This window comes from Homo sapiens, chromosome 3 (genome assembly GCF_000001405.40).
Source record: "Homo sapiens chromosome 3, GRCh38.p14 Primary Assembly".
Taxonomy (NCBI): Eukaryota; Metazoa; Chordata; class Mammalia; order Primates; family Hominidae; genus Homo; species Homo sapiens.
Window position 1 is genome coordinate 36,528,397 of NC_000003.12, and position 20,010 is coordinate 36,548,406.

At 39.7% G+C, this 20,010-nt stretch overlaps 1 protein-coding gene across 9 annotated transcripts in view; it reads left to right on the top strand.

Annotated features, from left to right (window-relative positions):
* The window catches only part of STAC (SH3 and cysteine rich domain), a 167,504-nt gene extending 147,893 nt beyond the window's left edge, over nt 1-19,611 (top strand). For 7 of the 9 annotated variants that reach the window (XM_047448767.1, NM_003149.3, NM_001292049.2 and 4 more), the window contains 3 exons: nt 300-351; nt 452-589; nt 17,795-19,611. In XM_047448767.1, coding sequence (XP_047304723.1) covers nt 300-351; nt 452-589; nt 17,795-17,893 — 289 coding nt within the window. In that variant the 3' untranslated portion in view covers nt 17,894-19,611. Of the gene's footprint in view, nt 1-299; nt 352-451; nt 590-4,849; nt 5,033-17,794 lie in introns of those variants that run through there. The other 2 variants (XM_047448768.1, XM_047448770.1) reach the window with 1 other exon arrangement.
* Nucleotides 19,612-20,010: the final 399 nt, after the last annotated feature.

The window sequence follows — 20,010 nt, forward strand, 5'->3', positions numbered from 1 at the left end:
AGTCAGAGGTTGCAGTGAGCCAAGATCATGCCACTGCACTCCAGCCTGGCGACAGAGCGAGACTCTGTTTAAAAAAAAAAAAAAAAGAGTTATTTTTAAAATACAGCATAAAATCATGTTTGCCTTCAATGTGTAATACAGCTATTTTCTTGGTAGGAAGAACTGGTAAAAGTTATATTTACTTTATTTCTATTTCTTTTAAGACTATTTGTGTAAATGAGAAATGATTACTCCTGACTTTAAAGTATGTTATTTTTCTTTTTTTTTCCTTTACCTAACTCATTCATTCTTCATTTTAGGCCAGGAGACATAATTACTCTTTTAGAGGATTCCAATGAAGACTGGTGGAAAGTAAGTGTTCCTCTTTCTTTAAAAAAAAAAGAGAAAATCATTTGGTAACTATTATAATACATGCTACAATTGTGGATGCATGCCTCCTTTTTCCTTTCAGGGGAAAATTCAAGACAGAATTGGCTTCTTTCCAGCCAACTTTGTTCAGAGACTACAACAAAATGAGAAGATTTTTAGATGTGTTAGAACCTTCATTGGGTGTAAGGAACAGGGGCAGATAACACTGAAAGAGAATCAGGTGAGTAAACCACACAAACACATTCCAGATATGAGCCAAATAGGGTGTCATTTTAATAAACTTAATAATATGTATAAATCTGAATGAGTGGGGTCACATTCAAAGTATTCACTTTGAGAAAAGATATACTTACTCCAATGATGTCAGTGTTGTAGGAGCTAAACATGCAAACTAAAATTTTAGGAATCTCACTTGGTGATACCTGTTCATAAACGAAACGTGATAGTGGCAGGCGACGACATCTCGTCCCCCATGCTCTTCTCAGAAGACCACCGGTCTCTGATGTGGACAGCTTCTCTCATTTGGGCTCTGAGTTAGCGTCCAACAAAGGTGTGGTTAATTCTTCAGTGCTCTCTAACAAATACTTCGTTATTAGTTGTTGCTATTAGGAACCTCTTGGGTTTTCTTATCTGGACTCCAAGTCTCTACCTATTCACTGAAGCCCATAACACCTTCATATCATTGCAAAAGACACGGACTAAATTTAGATAACCAGATACTATCTCAGGCTCATAAATGAACAATCTCTGTATGTCTAATCTAGAGGTGCCTGTCACCATCTTGCTCCAGGGCCATGTTGAATGTAGAGTTCTCTTTGATGCTGTCAATTTTCCTGAGAAGTAAAATGTGAACCCCCACATTTGTATGTCTTTAAGCTCCACCATCTCATGGCTGGAATGTTGATAGAGACAAAGAAACAGCATTCTCACACTTTAGCTCTCTGGCCTACTCTTCCTGTCTTTGTCTTCCAGCAGAGAGAGGCCTTCCTACCCTGCCTTCTTCTCTGACTGCAGCTCCCCTCAGGTCATGTCCTGTGTCCTCACTACAGAGTAAAATAATATGCTTGGACTTACGGCAGGGCTCGGTGGCTCACGCCTGTAATCCCAGCACTTTGGGAGGCCGAGGAGGGCAGATCACGAGGTCAAGAGATGGAGACCATCCTAGCCAATATAATGAAACCCCATCTCTACTAAAAATACAAAAATTAGCTGGGCGTGGTGGCACACATCTGTAATCCCAGCTACTTAGGAGGCTGAGGCAGGAGAATCTCTTGAACCAGGGAGGTGGAGGCTGCAGTGAGCCGAGATCGTGCCACTGCACTCCAGCCTGGTTTGTTCTTGATATATTAGTGGAGGATTTGGGGAATTAAAAATTTATTTCCTCTCCTAATAAAGTCTCACAGAGGACTTTAATTTTCAACTTTGGAAGTCAAAAATCTTTCCTCTGTTTCTTTCTGCATTCTTGGTATAAGAATTTTATTATTTCCCAAGGTAATGAATGCCTGAAGTTGAAATTGATAAGGCTCGCCCTACAAGGAAGTTCACAATGAAAAAGGCATTAATAATTTTAATACATCTCTGTTCAACAGAGTTGCCGAAAACACATCTTGAATGCCTTTTTTAGGATTGCCTCAAAGATAGTTTCTAAGTCACACAAGAAAATCAGTCATTACCTTAAAATTATAGCTATTTGTAATTTTAAAAATTGTTTTGTCCCACTTAATCAACCATTGTATAGTCCACATGTAGCTTTAACTGACTTTATCATTTTCAAACTAACAAATATATCCTCAAAGAATAATAATTCACCTTTTCTTTTTTTTTTTTCTTTTTTTTTTTTTTTTTTTGAGACGGAGTTTCACTCTTATTGTCCAGGCTGGAGTGCAATGGCACAATCTCGGCTCACAGCAACCTCCACCTCCCAGGTTCAAGCCATTCTCCTGCCTCAGCCTCCGGAGCAGCTGGGATTACAGGCATGAGCCACCACGCCTGGCTAATTTTTTTATATTTTTAGTACAGTCAGGATTTCTCCATGTTGGTCAGGCTGGTCTCAAACTCTGGACCTCAGGTGATCCACCCGCCTCGGCCTCCCAAAGTGCTGGGATTACAGGCGTGAGCCACTGCACCTGGCCAATTTACCTTTTCTTTATGGCTATTCAAAAGAATCTTTAAAAGGAAAAATCTAAAGAAAAATGATAATATGGAGGACAGCTTTTTTAAAAAAATGTAACTCACCCTCCCTTTAAATTCAAGTAAATGAAAATCATTGAAAACAAGAGACCAATAATTCTGAGTATTATTTTCCCTATATATTTTAACAAAGGTGGAGATGGAGTCATTGAAACTGGCACTTTCATAAATGCTGGGAGACATTAGTCCACTCATTTGGTTACTGATTTGGTACCACGTATTTAGAGCCATGAAATTGCTCAACTTCATGAATACAGTAATTCCATTTTCTGTAATGTATCCAAGAAAATAACCTAAAGTAAACAGGGGGAGACTTTATGCAAAAAGACAGTCATCAGAGTGATATTCATGATGGTAAGAATTAGGAACAATTGCACAAACAACGGAAGTGATTAACTCAATGACAATATTTTCTTTAATGGACAACGTTAGGACCCTAAGCAATTTTGATGGTGTTATGATAATATTATGGAATTGGAATAGTGGAATCCGAACCCAGATCCCAGTCACTGTTCTCCCAAGATAAACACAAATGGAGAGATGCAGACAGGGCCTGAAGCCCTGTTTTCATTCATGGAACCATAGTAAACCAGACAGAGTACCAGATGTGATCTAGAGACCTAAGAGGTCTCACCACAGCCCACCCACCTTACCACCACCACCATGGGCTGGTCTGAATCTGAGGATCTAATGGTACCAGATGCCCCATGGGAGAAAGGGAGCAGAAAGGACTGTAGCAAAACTGGCATAAGATGGCCCGATTCCCTCCCAGAAGGAACAAGAGAGGAGGAAGCTTTAAGAGACAGTGAGAAACCCCTGGCACCTGTGGTGCAATTAGATCTTCTGCCTTTGGAGAAGTGAGGAGAGACCTAGGAGAGAGGGCAGATATCTTCAAATATTGTGTCACCATCTTAAATGATCATAAACCATGAACAAATAAATATTAATGATACAATGGTAGTAAAAAACTTAATGGCTTTGTTCTCTTCCATTTAAATTACTTTCATGGTATATTTTACAAAAATAAAATTTAAAAGTAGCACAATTTAAAATATTCAATTTTGTCTTTTGAATCTAATAACATAAAGGTACACAGTGTTGCTGTGGTTTTCCTGGGCCTCAACTTTGCACATGTGTACACAAATGCACACACACAACACACACATCACCATATCCAACAATTGCTATATCGAATTACATTATCTGCTGCTGCTTATATAGATGCAATAACCCCAAGAGGTGTATGCCATCTAACGATTTTTGGTTGTTAAAATCTCTAATATCCTTAGGAAATTGGGTCACTGGGCTCTATGGTTTCACCCTGGTTTTACAGTTTTACTTGAAATTGACATACTTCCCTTTTATAAAAATTGCTTATATGATATGCCCACTTTAGGACACATTGCATTTTGTAAATTGCACAAGCTCTCTTTCATCCAGTTGCTTGTAGACAGACTCTATGTTTAAAAAGATCAAAAGTCATCAATGTGCTGACATGAAATATACCTCACTCAAGAGCACCCGATCCTTCATTTTCTGCCCAAAGTTGTTTGTTCCCCCTGGGGCTGTTATTTGCCAACCTATCACTTGCCTGCACACTCCCCAAAGAGGTAACAGCAGAAGCCAGCATCTGCCTATAAAGAGCAGTGGCATCCAAAGATTCCCCTTAATGACAATACCCCTGGAAACCTACTACCCCTACCCCTGGAAGACTGCACTGACCACTCTGTCTCCCATAAAAGTATATGCAAACCCCACATGACTATTCCTTTTTGGATGTGATGACCTGTTTTGGGGTCTGCTTTTTGAAAGAGAACATTTTATCTCTAGCCCCTGGCTCACAGAAAAGGAAAGAACAAATTAATACTGTCTTAAACATTGTCACAATAATAATTGTTATAAGAATCATAATTATTAGTCATTATTTAAAGTCATACAGACACACTGTATAAATAAAGTTTATACACATGCCCTGTGAATTTTATGGATTCATTATTTCTATTTTATAAATGAGAAAACAAACACTCATAGAGGTTATGTGTCTTGCTCAAGGGGCAAAAGCCTAGTAAGTGTCCAGAATGGAACATAAACACAGGTCTGCAAACCCCAAGTCAAGGCTTTCCACTAGCCATGTGCCCTTAACAATGTGGAAAGAACTCTGAACAGTAAAGAGCAGCTTGGTTCCCAAGGATGAAGAGTGTCATAAAGGAAGTTGTCTTGGGACCAAAAGACTCCTTGAATACAAGTTCTTGCTCATGTGGGCTCCCTATTGGGTCATTCTTGATTCCAGGCACAGGCATCATCATCAGACTGACACCCCATCTCTGATGCGATACACAACTCGCAAAGCAAATGGGCACTTTTCCCAGCTTGATTCCATGCCAACACTTCAACCTTCCCCAAGTTTACCCAACTGTATCCTTCCTGTTCCAAAAATTTGGAAAGTCTTTGAATAAAATAAATTTGGGAAGAATGTTCATCTTTATTGGCAAAGTGTTACTCAATAATCTTGCTAGCATGTTTTTTTTTTTTTTTTTTTTTTTTTTTCAGAATAATCTTATGCTTTCCCATTTGAGGTCAAACATTGTTTTTATGTTATTAAAATCCAATCAGTGAAACCAGAAGGCAAATTAAAATTTGCTCAAGTTGATCAATTTCTACAAGCAGAACATCTGTTCAGTGACTCCCACCAATTCCTTGGCATATTCCCCACAATTTTTTTTCTGGGACTGGGCCTCATACCTGCATTCTCTGCCCTCATGGTTAAACTGAATCTGCTAGGGTTTGGGGTGTGGAGGAGGTAAGGCAAACAATTCAGCCTCTTCAGCTAGACACGTTCAAGATGCAACAGAGCATTTCAGCCTGAACCTGGAACCAAATGAGTCTGCTCATAATTATTGTCTTCTTTTATTTTAGGTTCAGGGGTACAACATGTGCAGGTTTCTTATATAGGCAAATTGCATGTCACGGGGGTTTGGTGTACAGATTATTTCACCACTCAGGTAATAAAGATAGTATCAATTTTTTAAATACATCAGCCATTTCAAAGAAAAAAATGCTTTTAAAAATCAATTTTAGAAACAAATTTCAAAATTTGTCTCCACTTTAGTGTCCTAAGTTATTTTAGGTTGAAGATTTCAAAATATGCTTGTTAATTGCAGGGAGTATGTAATAGAAAGAGCACAGATACTAGTGTCATACAGAAATGGATCTATATCCTGTGTGATTTTGACAAAGTAGCCTCTGAATGTCAACCTTCTCATCAGCATAGTAGCATCTCTCTCTTGAACTTGATGTGAGAGTTAAATGTGCTCACCTATATAAAGCCTTAGCACAGTGCCTGGCCACCACAAATGCATAGCAGAAGTCATTTTCCTGGCTACCGTTATCACTAAAGAGTAAAGCCTAAATGAGGAATTCATCTGCAGTGGTTAATGCCACCTAAACTTACCCAGTAAGCACCAGAAAATAGCCAATATGATATTTATAACCCTACAAATATGAAGAGACAAATGGACATTAACAAGAAAATAAAAGAAATTTGATTCTAAAGATAAATGCAATGCACATCTTTGATTAAATCACATTTTCTACTTCTGGGGTTAATCTGTCTCATAATTATTGTATTTTTTTTTTGCAGAGCTCTTGTTTCCAAATATAGTTATCCATTTGTTATGAACACAATGAGAGTTTGCATTGATACAAGTATGTTTTCTGTTTCCTCCTCCTCCTTTTCCTCCTCTTCCTCCTCCTCCTTGTTGTTCTTCTTCATCTTCTTTTTGTGAGGCAGGGTCTCACTCCCTAGGCTCAGGTAATCCTCCCACCTCAGCCTCCCAATCAACTGGGACCACAGGTGTGCACTACCATGCCCAGATGATTTTTGTATTTAATGTAGAAGTGGGGTTTTGACATGTTGCTCAGGCTGGTCTCGAAGTCCTAGACTCAAGTGATCCCCAGCCTCCCAAAGTACTAGGATTACAGGCATAAGCCACTGCACCTGGCCTCTTCATTTTTAAATTTTAAAATGTATCCTTATTAAATCGACTTTAAAATACCATAAAACATTTCTTTAATGGGAATAACATTGAATCTATAAATTACTTTGGGGAGTATGGCCATTTACATGATACTTTTTCTTTCTATCCATGAGCATGGGATGCTTTTCCATTTGTTTGTGTCCTCTCTTACTTCCTTGAGCAGTGGTTTGTAGTTCTCCTTGAAAAGATCCTTCACTCGCCTTGTTAGCTGTATTCTAGGTATTTTAGACTCTTTGTAGCGATTGTGAATGGGAGTTCATTCACGATTTGGCTCTCTGCTTGTCCGTTGTTGGCGTATAGTAATGCTTGTGATTATTGAACATTGATTTTGTATCCTGAGACTTTGCCAAAGCTGTGAATCAGCTTAAGAAGCTTGGGCTGAGATGATGGAGTTTACTTGATATAGGATCATGACATCTGCAAACAGAGACATTTTGACTTCCTCTCTTCCTATCTGAATACCTGTTGTTTCTTTCTCTTGCCTGATTGCCCTGGCCAGAACTTCTAATACTATGTTGAATAGAAGTGGCGAGAGAGGGCATCTTTTTTGTGCCAATTTTCAAGGAGAATGCTTCCAGCTTTTGCCCATTCGGTATAATATTGGCTGTGGGTTTGCCATAAATGGCTCTTATTATTTTGAGGTACGTTCCTTCAATACCTAGTTTATTGAGAGTTTTTAAAATGAATGGACGTTGAAATTTATTGAAGGCCTTTTCTGCATCTATTGAAATAATCATGTGGTTTTTGTCTTTAGTTCTGTTTATATGTGAATTACATGTATTGATTTGCATATGTTGAACCAGCCTTGCATCCCAAGAATGAAGCCAACTTGATCATGGTGAATAAGCTTTTTGATGTGCTGCTGGATTCAGTTTGCCAGTATTTTACCAAGGATTTTTACATCGATCTTCATCAGGGATATTGGCCTGAAGTTTTCTTTTTTTGTTGTGTCTCTGCCAGGTTTTAGTACCGGGATGATGCTGGCCTCACAAAATGAATTAGGGAGGGGTCCCTCCTTTTCAATTGTTTGGAATAGTTTCAGAAGAAATGGTACCAGCTCCTTTTTGTACCTCTGGTAGAATTCAGCTGTAAATCTGTCTGGTGCTGGGCTTTTTTTGGTTGGTAGGCTATTTGTTACTGCCTCAATTTCAGAACTTGTGATTGGTCTATTCAGGGATTCAACTTCTTCCCAGTTCAGTCTTGGGAGGGTGTATGGCCATTGACATTCTTCACAGAATTAGAAAAAAAAACTACTTTAAAATTCTTATGGAACCAAAAAAGAGCCTGTATAGACAAGGCAACCTAAGCAAAAAGAACAAAGCTGGAGGCATCCCGCTACCTGGCTTCAAGCTATACTACAAGGCTACAATAACCAAAACAGCATGGTACTGGTACAAAAACAGATACATAGGCCAGTGGAACAGTATAGAGGTCTCAGAAATAAGACCACACATCTACAACCATCTAATCTTTGACAAATCTGACAAAACCAAGCAATGGGGAAAGGAGTCCCTATTTAATAAATGGTGCTTGGGAAGTGGGCTAGCCATATGCAGAAGATTGAAGATGGACCCCTTTCTTACACCTTATACAAAAATTAACTCAACCATTCAGGACATAGGCACAGGCAAAGACTTCCTGACGAAAACATCAAAAGCAATTGCAACAAAAGCAAAAATTGACAAAGGGGATCTAATTAAACTAAAGAGCTTCTGCACAGCAAAAGAAACTATCAGAGTGAACAGACAGCCTACAGAATGGGAGAAAATTATTGCAATCTACCCATATGACAAAGATCTAATATCCAGAATCTACAAAGAACTTAAACAAATTTACAAAAAAAACAAGAAAACAAAAAACAAAAAAAAAAAAACCCCAATAAAAAGTGGGCAAAGGACAAGAACAGACACTTCTCAAAAGAAGATATTTATATGGCCAGCAAACATATGAAGAAAAGCTCAACATCACTGATCATTAGAGAACTGAAAATCAAAACCACAAAGAGTACCATGTCACTCCAGTCAGAATGGTGATTATTAAAGAGTCAAGAAACAGCAGATGCTGATGAGGCTGTGGAGAAATAGGAATGCTTTTACACTGTTGGTGGGAATGTAAATTAAACCATTGTGGAAGATAGTGTGGCAATTTCTCAAAAACCTAGAACCAGAAATACCCTTTGACCCAGCAATCCCATTACTGGGTATATACCTAAAGGAATATAAATCATTTTATTATAAAGATAAATGCATGCATATGTTCATTGCAGCACTATTCCCAATAGCAAAGACATGGAATCAACCCAAATGCCCATCAATGAAAGACTGAATAAAGAAAATATGGTACACATACACCATAGAATACTATGCAGCCATAAAAAGGAATAAGATCATGTCCTTTGCAGGGACATGGATGGAGCTGGAAGCCATTATCCTCATCAAACTAATGCAGGAACAGAAAACCAAACACTGCATGTTCTCAGTCATAAATGGGAGCTGAACAATGAGAACACATGGACACAGGGAGGGAACAACACACACTAGGGCCTGTTGGGGCAGGGGCGTGGTGGGGTAGTGAGAGGGAGAGCATCAGGATAAAAATATAATGCACGTGGGCTTAATACCTAGGTGATGGGTTGATAGGTGCAGCAAACCACCATGGCACACATTTACCTATCTAACAAACCTGCACATCCTGCACATATATCCTGGAACTTAAAATAAAATAAAAATTTTTAAAAAGAAAACAAAAAATACTGATCTAAAAAGTGGACTTTAAAATACTTAGGAAAATTAACTAAGTCCATAAATTGAATATTTATGTGGAATTCAGTCTATTTTACTCTAGTTGACCAAACATTAATTAAAGATCCTCCTGAAAAAAAATTATTTAAATTGATGCATAGTTTTATTGCACCTATAGAACCATTTTCATTTATTATTTGTGTTCTATCAAAGCTTTAAAAAAAAACAGAAAAAAATATTTTATATTACAAAACCAAAATGCATTTATTTTGGAGAAAATTTGAGGGAAAATATTTTTAAGAGGTATAAAAGATAAAATAGAGACCATAAGCAATTCAACCATTAAATTATTACCAACATAAACACTGGCATATTTCATGTCAAACTTTTAATTCATATTTTGATATCATATCCTCTTTAGTTTCCTAACATTTAAAAAATTTAGTCATTAAATGTTTATCAAAACACAGGTTTTAAGAAAGTTTTATTAGAACATAGCTAAATTTATTCATATATATATGGTCTGCGGCTGCTTTCATGCTACAACTAAATAGCTGAGTTGAGTCACTGCAACAGAGACCAGATGGCCTGCAAAGCCTACAATATTTAGCATTTGGCCCTTTATAGAAAAAGTTTGCCAATCCTTAGTCTAGATGTACAGGAATGTGTTTAAGTTTCTCTTGTTATTGGATATTCAGAGTTTTTATTTTTAAAACTGTTATTGATAACTGCAATGAACATCTCTGAACATAAATATTTGTCTCTAACTCTGATTATTTTCTTAGGATGTACTTTGGAATTTAGCGGAAAACAGATCAAGACGTGTACAATTCTTGATGCATACTGCCAAATTGCATTCAGAAAGGTCGTGCCAACTTACACACTCACACCAGATGTTCATGAGCATATCCAGATCATCACATGCTTGCAAGAATTTAACATTATTATTTTTTGTTATGTCAGTTTGATAGATTAATAATATTTCATGCTAATCTGCATTTTCTGGATGGTTAAAGAGGCTTACATTTTATCTCATATATATAGGGCATTTTTTAAAATAATCTATTTATGTACTTTGCCCATTTTCTTACATTATTTAAAAAGTTTTCTACCTTTGAAGAATATTTATGTCTGCTGTACCACATGTGACCAATATTTTCTCTAGTTTATCATTTGCCCTTCACTCTCAATGCCTCTTTCTCCAGGAGCTTAATCATTCTTTGGTTGGATCATTTCTGGTTTACCATGTTTCCTTTATAGTTTTAGTGTCTTTATTATTTTACACTTCTCTATCTCTCTCTGATTCCTCCCAAGAGACTGTTTCAAGATAGTCCTCACTTCACTTTGATTTTTCTGAAGTTTCAATTCAGTCTTTCATTGCTTCTAATACATGTTAGTTTAGTATTTATTTCCCGGTAGACTTTTCTTCTCAGTCAGCCCCTTTCTTCTACAGAATATTTTCTTTTCTTTTCTTTAACTTTTATTTTAAGTTCAGGGGTACAGTGCAGGTTTGTTATATAGTTAAACTTGTGTCCTGGGGTTTTGTTGTACAGATTATTTCCTCACCTAGGTATTAAGCCTAGCACCCATTAGTTATTTTTTCTGATCCCCTCCATCCTCCCACCCTTCACCCCCTAAAAGGTCCCAGTGTGTGTTATTCCCCTTTGTGTGTCCATGTGTCCTCATCATTTAGCTCCAACTTACAAGTGAGAACATGCAGTATTTTTTTGGTTTTCTGTTCCTGTGTTAGTTTGCTAAGGACAATGGCCTCCAGCTCCATCCATATCCCTGCAAAGGACATGATCTTGTTGTTTTATGGCTGCTTAGTATTCCATGGTGTATATGTACCCCAGATTTGGGGTACATATATTTTCTTTATCCAGTCTACCATTGATGGGCATTTAGGTTGAATCTATGCCTTTGCTATACAGCATGTTTTCTTTGTGTCTCATTGCATCATCTCTTTACCTCGAGATATTTTCTCCTTATAACACTGAGGCCAAGTCTTCCTTCAACCTACTGCATTCAGTATGTCTGAAAGGAGAACTCTGAGACATACATGCATATTTTCTGTAATTTTTAAAATGTTTTATTGTAATAGTCTTGGTCCTTTTATCCTGTGGTAGGCAGAATAACAACTCCCCAAAGATGCCCGGGTCCTAACCTCCAAAACTTGGAATATGTTACTTTATATGACAAAAGGAATTTTGTAGATGTGATTAAGTTAAAGATTTTGTGACCAGTAGATTATCTGGATTATCAGGGTGAGCCCAGTGTAATCACAGAGATTCTTAGAAGAGGGAGACAGGAGGGCCAGCGTCAGAGAAGGAGATGTGATGATGGAAGCCGGGGTCAGAGAGAGAGAGAGATTTGAAGATGCTATGCTCCTGGCCTTGAAGGTGAAGGAAGGAGCTGTGAGCCAAGGAATATAGGTGATGACCTCTAGAGCTGGAAAAGACAAGGAAACAGACTCTCTCTTAGAGCCTCTAGAAAGAATGCAGCCCTGCCAGCACCTTGTTCTTAGGACTTCTGAACCCTAGAACTGTAAGATAATAAATTTGTGTTGTTATAAGCCACCAAATTTGGGGTAATTTATTGTAGCAACAACAGGAAACTAATCCAGAGTTTACACAAAAGGGACTTTGCAGATGTGATGAAGGTTATGGACTCTGGGATAGGGAGATACCCTAGATTGTCTAGGTGGACCAAATCTAATCACTTGAGCCCTTAAGAACAGAGAAATGTATCTGGCTAGAGTCAGGGAGATGCAGCAGAAGAGGACAGATGAAAAATGAGGTAAAAGTGTAAGTCAAAGAGAGATAAAGTATGAGAAAGACTCAGCCTACCATTAATGGATGTGAAGATGGAGAAAGGGGACCACAAGCCAGAGGATGAGGGTGGCCTCTAGAAGCTGGAAACAGGCATCTCAGTCCTCCAGCCACAGGGAGCTGAACGCAGCAACATCCTAAATGAGCCTAAAATTAAATAATCCCCTATAGAAAAAGCAAAGAAAGGAAGGAATAGAGCCCTTTTGACTCCGTGATTTTGGCCTTATAAAACCCAGAGCAGAGAAAACCAGCCAAGTCCGCTAGACCTACAAAACTGTGATATAATAAATGGTGTTGTTTAAGGCTTCTAAATTTGTGGTGATTTGTTACAACAGTAATAGCAAATGAATAAACATCTCAAGTTACAAAAATCAAACTCAAACTTAAAGGGTCTATTTTACTCCTATAATAAAGAGTCTGATAGAGGTCAGTTCTTGGGTTGATAATTCAGTGGCTTGATCCTCTGGTCAGAGAACCAAATTCTTCCACATTTCTGCTAAGCTATCCTTGAAATGATAGCTACGTCCCCTAGTGGTCACAGATGGCTGCAGCCACTCCAGGAATCCTTCCAGACAAAGAAAGATTTTCTTCCTAAGGCATCTCTTTTAATAGGGGGGAAGAAAAAAAAAACTTTCCCAGAGTTTCCCTAGCAGGTATTTCATCTTGCTTCATTGGCTGGAACTAAGTTCTATGTAAACCACTAAGAATCACTAACAAGGAGGACAGAAACAGGACTTGGATCAATTAAATTTACCTAAGTCACATAGGATAGGGATGGGCAACAGAATGAAAGGCAGGACTCTGCTTCGTGGGAAAACGACAGAAATGACCATGAGTACCAATCATCAGTGTTTGCCTCAAGGTTTTAGTTATCCTAGAACAGTGAGTGATTGATGCAGAACTAAGGTTGCCCAGCTGAAATGGTGAGTGAATTAGTCTGGCTCCAGCTCAGTTTCCACAAAATTCAAAAACCAATGTAGAGGACATGGATGTGTGATCAGGAGTCTAAAATATCAAAGATGGAACACTGAATGTTAACATTTAACTCCAAAGCAAGGACCTCCAAGCCATTAAAGAGTCTAGGCTCTGGAGAATGAGATTGGGAGGAAATTGAGTAAGGCATTCGAATCCAGAAGACCGTAAACTGCCTGTGTCCCATACTAGGAAAGCAAAGTTTCTGAGAGATGCTGAGGAGCTGGCCATAGCTGAGCTACATGGTTAGGTATGTGCTGGGCTGGCTAGAGATGGGATGCTGTGTATGTGAGGTGCCTCTGCTCTGCATATGCTGCACTTACCTTGGTGTTGGGACATCCAGCTTACCACTGCTGCATACATGATGCTCATGTCAACAAGCTGGCTGGTCAGGTCAGGATTTATCAGTATGGGAAGAAAATTTGTCCAGCTTTCAGGAAGTCTCTTTATGTTAGAGAGAGGGAGGAAGGATGGAGAGAGAATGGGTGGCAGGAGAAAAAAACAGGACAGATAAAGATGGGAAGGGAAAGGAGGAAAGTCAAGGGTAGGGGAGAGGAGAAGAGGAAAGGGAAGGGAAGAGAAGGGAGGGGAAAGGAGAATAGAAAGAATTGTTTTAAATAAATCTGATCACCTTATTCCTCCAATTAAAACCTTTTAACACCTGTTTGCCCTTTTCCCATGCTGCAGAGCCCTGATTTTGTTCTGTTGTCCACCTATATCTTAAATGACTCAGGCAATGCTAACTGAATTGATCCCATTCTCCTTGTCGGTGATGACTTTAGTGGTTTGCTTGTGGCCCAATTCTAGTCCATGAGACAGATCAGAAGGTCAGCCAAAGGTCTTAGCAGAATTTAGCGTGGCTTGCATTTCCTGCATACTCTAGGCTCTGACAGATTTTGTGGCTTCATCTTACACCCATTAGTCCCTCCATCTCTCTGTTCTGGTACACTGAATTTTTTCCATTACTTCAAAGTGTCCCAGTCTCTTGAGGCTGGAATTTTTCTGATTCTAGTCTTATTTTCCTCCTTCCTACACCTTTTTCTCTTTCTTTAAATATCACTTCTTCAAGAAGGTGTTTCTTACCCCATTGGCTAGATCAGGTTTCCATAAGTATTTCCATTAGTACTCTTTTCTTTATTCATTAAGTCATGCAAAAAAATATTATGTTTTATGTTGTCAGTCAGATTACTAAATGTTGTCCACAGGACAATCAGCCATCAAAACAGCCACAGCCCTTGCACTCACCACATTGTTGATTTCTCAATAAATGTCAGCTGGGACAGCTGTACCCAGAAATCTCTGTCAGGGATCCGTCTGTCTTGTATTGCACTAGTTCCCCAGCATTTATAATGGTATCTAACACATAGTAGGTACTCAATAAAGAGTTGTTGAATGAGTGAATAAATAAGGAAAGCAGGAAATTGAGGATCCTTAGGCAATGAAAATATCTCTAACTGTACCTGATGAGTAAAACATTTCTGCTAGGGAGATCAACTGTTCAATTACAGTTTGGAATTGAAGGGTTTTGAAGGACTTAGGACTTTCAGTGCTAATATTGAGAATGTCCTGAGCAAACCGAGACAAGTTGGTCACCCTCTATTTATGGCCCTCCAAACCAAAAGAGTTCCCCTGTCCTCACTTTCCACTCTTTTCCACCTGTAACTAATCTTCTGGGAAGATATTTCCATTCTGCCTCTAAATGAATGGAAATGTTTCAGGCTCTGCCATTGTTTCCTAAAATGGTAGATTCTCAAGGCTGAGAGGTTATGTATTTTACCATCAGAATTTTAAATTCTGGATTCCTCATTTCTGGATAGAGTCAAAGCGGCTGAAGCCTGTGTTCAGCCATTTGTACTCATCATCTTCAAAACTTCTCATCCGTAAAAAGGTCTCCCAAAATCAAAGCACTTTAGAGATGCCAAACAGGAAGGTTGAAAATAAGCCAGTGCATTCAACAAAGCATGAACCATTGTGCTTCTTGGCTTCCTATTTCAGAGACACTTCCGAACAACTCTTCCACAGCCTCTAGCAAGCAATGTTTCTCTTCTACATAAAAACCTTGAAAGAGAAGAGAAAAAAGCAAAGGTCTATCTTATATATAGGCACATATTTGAACCTCAGTGGTGTTTTTGCTCCAAGAACTGAAATTCGTTCTTCACAGAGATAATGAAATGCTCTGAAAATGACCCAAAAGACATTTTTTGGGTCAGTCCAGGTTTTGTTTGTTCCAAGGCATGGAGTAATGGTGTAAGGCTCTTAGCTCTGGCCAGAATTTCAATGTTCTGACTCCTTGCCCAGTATTCTCACTCTTCCACATTACCACAATACAGCATTCTTGTGTGTATATGTCAATAAATTGTTTTCAAGTTTGATTTTTTAATTTAAATATTTAAATTCAACATGTTTTCATGGTTCATGTTTCACCTAGAACCAGCATACTCAAAGGGCGGGTGTTTATATTTTTATTGATGCTGACTGGTAGGACTCATATTAAGGGTTGTTGAATTTTGACACGTAGAAGTAGGTGAGAAAACACACTCTTTGGCAAATTATAAAGGTAAATCCTCCTCTCAAGGCATTTTTGTGTGTTCTTCCAAGACACACTCCCTGCTCATCACTGGAGCCTCCCCCTTTCAGTATTACTGGCATGGGCAATGGCAGGTCTCAGCTTTGCCACCCAGGCTGGAGTGCCCTGATGTGATCTCGGCTCACTGCAACCTCTGCCTCCAAGGTTCAAGCCATTCTCCTGCCTCGGCCTCCTGAGTAGCTGGGATTACAGGCATGCACCATCACACCCAGCTAATTTTTGTATTTTTTGTAGAGATGGGGTTTCACGACATTGGCCCGGCTGGTCATGAACTCCTGACCCCAAGTGATCCACCCATCTCGGCCTCCCAAAGTGCTGGGATTACAGGCATGAGCCACCGCACCCGGCCAGGTGTCTGCATTTATTTATTTATTTATTTGTTTATTTATTTATTTTGTGGAGGTACAAGTTTTCATTCTGATTAGACCCTATTATTCTGAGGGCAAAAACTATGTTTTGTGCTCCCTTTGTATCACCTAGGTCATCTGGTACTATGTTGGGCATGTATTTATTTATTTATTTTATACTCTAAGTTCTGGGATGCGCTTGCAGAACGTGCACGTTTGTTAACAAACATATGAAAAAAGTTGTAGGTCTCAGCTTTTGAAAATCAAGTATTCCATCCCTTTTGAAGTCATGTCAAGGGACCTAACATGACCCATCAGCTACTTCTCTCACAAGTGACCCACATCTGCTCTTCATGAAACAGTCAACACATCCACTACTCTTACAAATTATCTTCTCTTCACTTCACTGTCTGAGCCTCTATCTAGTCAAGTTTCTCACACAGTAGATCTCTGAAGCACGAGTCAGATACCAGTCCATTGTATGTCCCAAGCTCCAGGAGTCACAAATCAAGCTCTTTGAGTGTCCTATTCAAGCCCCTTCTTCTACATGATGGAAGAGCCCACTGTGGTGGCTTCTGTTGGAGCCTTGCTCAGATCCCTTTCACCAGGTGGGTGCACTCATCTCCCAGTTGCTATGTTGGCCACGAACAACTCACAGCTGCCCTTCTCAGGGAGGGCCTTATGAGACAGCAGGACCCTCTCTCCTGGAAGGTTATGCCCATCACACTACAGGCCAGCCAATGGCCAATGACTGACTGACATGGGGTTCAAAAGTCTGAAACCCTAGCTTCAAAGTGAGACAATTCTGTGATGCAATTCATGCTCCAGAGCTCCCAGGCGAACCAAGCTAGACTGCTTTCCAGCTGAAAACCTCTCATTGCTGGGCTCCTTCCCCTGCCCCATCCTGCATCCCTCACTTCCCACCTCCTGAGAGCACCCACTCAATAAGTCACTTGTACAAGGAACCCTGTGTCAGGTTCTGTTTCTGGGGAATCCAACCTAAGACAAGGCCTGTCATCCATGGAAGCAGGTGAGGCAAGAGAAACTCACAACACAACAATAGTTCTGTTCATAAACCTCTTCTAATTTTCATCTGCCCACATCCACCCTTCTATGCCCTTCAGTGGCCAATGAGTGGTGAGTGGCAAGAGTATCCAAATGAATGTTTACCAACCCCTTTTTAAAGTCTAGCATAGGTGGCCTTACTTTAGAATATGGGAAATGTTAGCATCTATTTGCTTGAGGCCAGGAGTGAAATAGTTCCCTTTGACTTCCTGATGTTATATGAGGTGCATATAAAATTCTGAGCACATGACAGGAGTCTGCTGAATGATAGCTATTATTTTGGTCCTTTAAAATAATGTCCTGAGAATTCATTGCATGCCACATGCTAGGCTCCTTGACAAACATTATTATCTCATTCTGTCCTCACAGTGACTCTTCAGAGGGTCACAGTACTATTAATCCTCATTTTATTGATCCTCATTCATAAAGCTAAATTTCAGAAAACATTCAATGCCTGGGCCTCATTCCAAACCTAGGTTTTTGCCTAATTTTTTATCAAACCTTTTTCTCACTGTGCTGGTTTCCCACCCTAAAACTGCTCTCCCTTTTCCAGTTTGTTGCTCCTGCAACCTCAGTCAGCAGGGATTCAAGCTGCAGGTTCTAACTTCGTTCTTGCTGACAGTAAAGTATTTTGTTTTTTTTCTTCCTTGGCATTCAGATCTGCGTGAGTTCTGAAGAAGAACAAGATGGTTTTATCAGAGTCCTCAGTGGAAAAAAGAAAGGCCTCATCCCCCTTGATGTACTAGAAAACATCTGATTGCTGGCTCCTCCTCCGTTTGCAGTAGGCAAGCTCTGCTGCGATGCCTCTGCCTCATCTCACACTGCGTCAACCCAAAGGAGCTGCCGCACTGACCCAGCCCCCCAGGAAACAGTGAGACAAGAATCAAGTATCTGAGACTGTGGAGTAATAGCCACAAAACAGAGGGCCCACTGCACAGCATATCCAGGCTGCCACAGGTGGGGACGAGGCTGAGAGAGTCAGCAGGCAGAGCCAGATGCCATGCTTGGCAGCAGCAGTAGGACTATAAACCACAGCTGTCCCCCAGGATCCCACTCCTTTCCTGTCTGTGTGGTGTAAGTTAACACACTGGAGTGTGCTCCAGTTTGCAGGGTAGCCCAGTGCAAGGTTCAGATCCATGTAGCTAAGTATTATCCTGCTTCCAGACCTATGTCACCAGTACCAATCAGTCAGTGTCATCACATTTCAGGCCCCAAGCAATCTCTGTGCAAAGCATCAGAAAGACCTGCTTCCCAGCCCCCAGCATTCCAGTGCTCTCCAGGCTTCCTCTCTTTGTGATTGTGCTGTCCAGAGTGTCCAGCTTGTTCTTTCTTTCTCTTCAGTCCTCTGAGTACATCTGGTGGTGTGCATTAGATGTGAGGGCTATGTTGACATGGCATCACCTCCAAAGACCTGACCTGCCTAAAGACTGATGACAGGCCATCCTTCCTGCTGTTCTAGGTACTGGCCTGGGTGACAGAGCAGGACATGAGACATAGATACAGTGGGGAGGAGAAGTGGGGAAAGGTGGAGCAGAGAGTTCTTACTTATTGAAGATTATACAGCCCTTTCGGTTATGAAGTCCCTGCTTGAAGGCAATGGACCTGGGGAAGAGACTATCACAAAAAGTCTCCATTTTCATTTTACATCCTCTCTATTGGAGGCAGCACTTTTCCCTCATGCTGTCCTATAGGACTCCACTTTGAAGGTTGTGCCTACGTTGCAGGGAACTAGGAACATGGAGGGGAACCAACAACAGCATCTTAGAAGAAATGTAGCCAAATTGGAGTCCATTCTTCTTTAGGGCAGTATATGAAATCCTAGCAGATGTAAAATGGAAAAGAATCCTAATGCTTCTTCCTTCAGAAAGTAGAGGAACTAGGGGCCCAATTAGCATCATCTAGGGGAATCTCTATTACTCTGTACTTATACTAATGTTTACAAGAATGCAATATACTGTGATGCCTTCCTACTCAAGCCTCCTAGCATTCAAACTTCCATCCTATTAGTCATTAACATGGTTAAACTTCAATTCACAATCACCTTGGAATCAATGTCAGTTTGATTTATTTTGTTACAGAGCAATAAAATCATTAGAACAATGGTTTTTAAAAGACTTAAGTGGATGCATCCTATGCATGTAAGCATTATTTCCCAAACCAAAGCATCATTCATCTCCATTTATTTCTTTTGTTCCCGCTCAGTGTGAAGTTGGGAACTGAGAGGGGATGGCTGCTGGTTTCACAGAAGTTTGGATGCCTTACTCTTATCTTAAAGCCAGCATCCAGAATTTCCTCCCTCTCTGATGCCACATGCAAAACCAGGTGTACGATGTCAAGATGGATTCTTTGAGAGCCAGGGTAGATCATATGACTGCCTTTCTGTAAAATTGGATGCCTAGTACAAATGCTCTTTGCCTCTAATTCAGTATTCCATTTAATAAAAACAATACAGTGGCTGGAAAGGAGCATCAGAAACATGTGTCCTGATCTCTTCTTTCTGTCATGATATCCATTAACTTTTTGGTACAATGATGTCACATCATATGCATGTTTAATTAAGATGAATCTTAAAAATGAGTTTGCCTTTTACAGTTGAATAGAAGGAAGATGTGGTATCTAGCCTCCAAGGTAGTCTCCCAAAGATCCCTACCTCCTCATATTCTTTCCTTTGTGTAGTCCCTTCCCACACTGAATCAGGGCTGGTCTTATGTGACCAATAGAACACAGCAGAAGTAGTACTACAAGGCTGTCTTAGTCTATTTTCTGTTTCTATAACAGAATATCTGAGACTGGTTAATTTATAAAGAAAAGAGATTTATTTTGCTGACAATTCTAGAGGCTAGGAAGTCCAAGAAGCATAGCGCTGGCATTTAT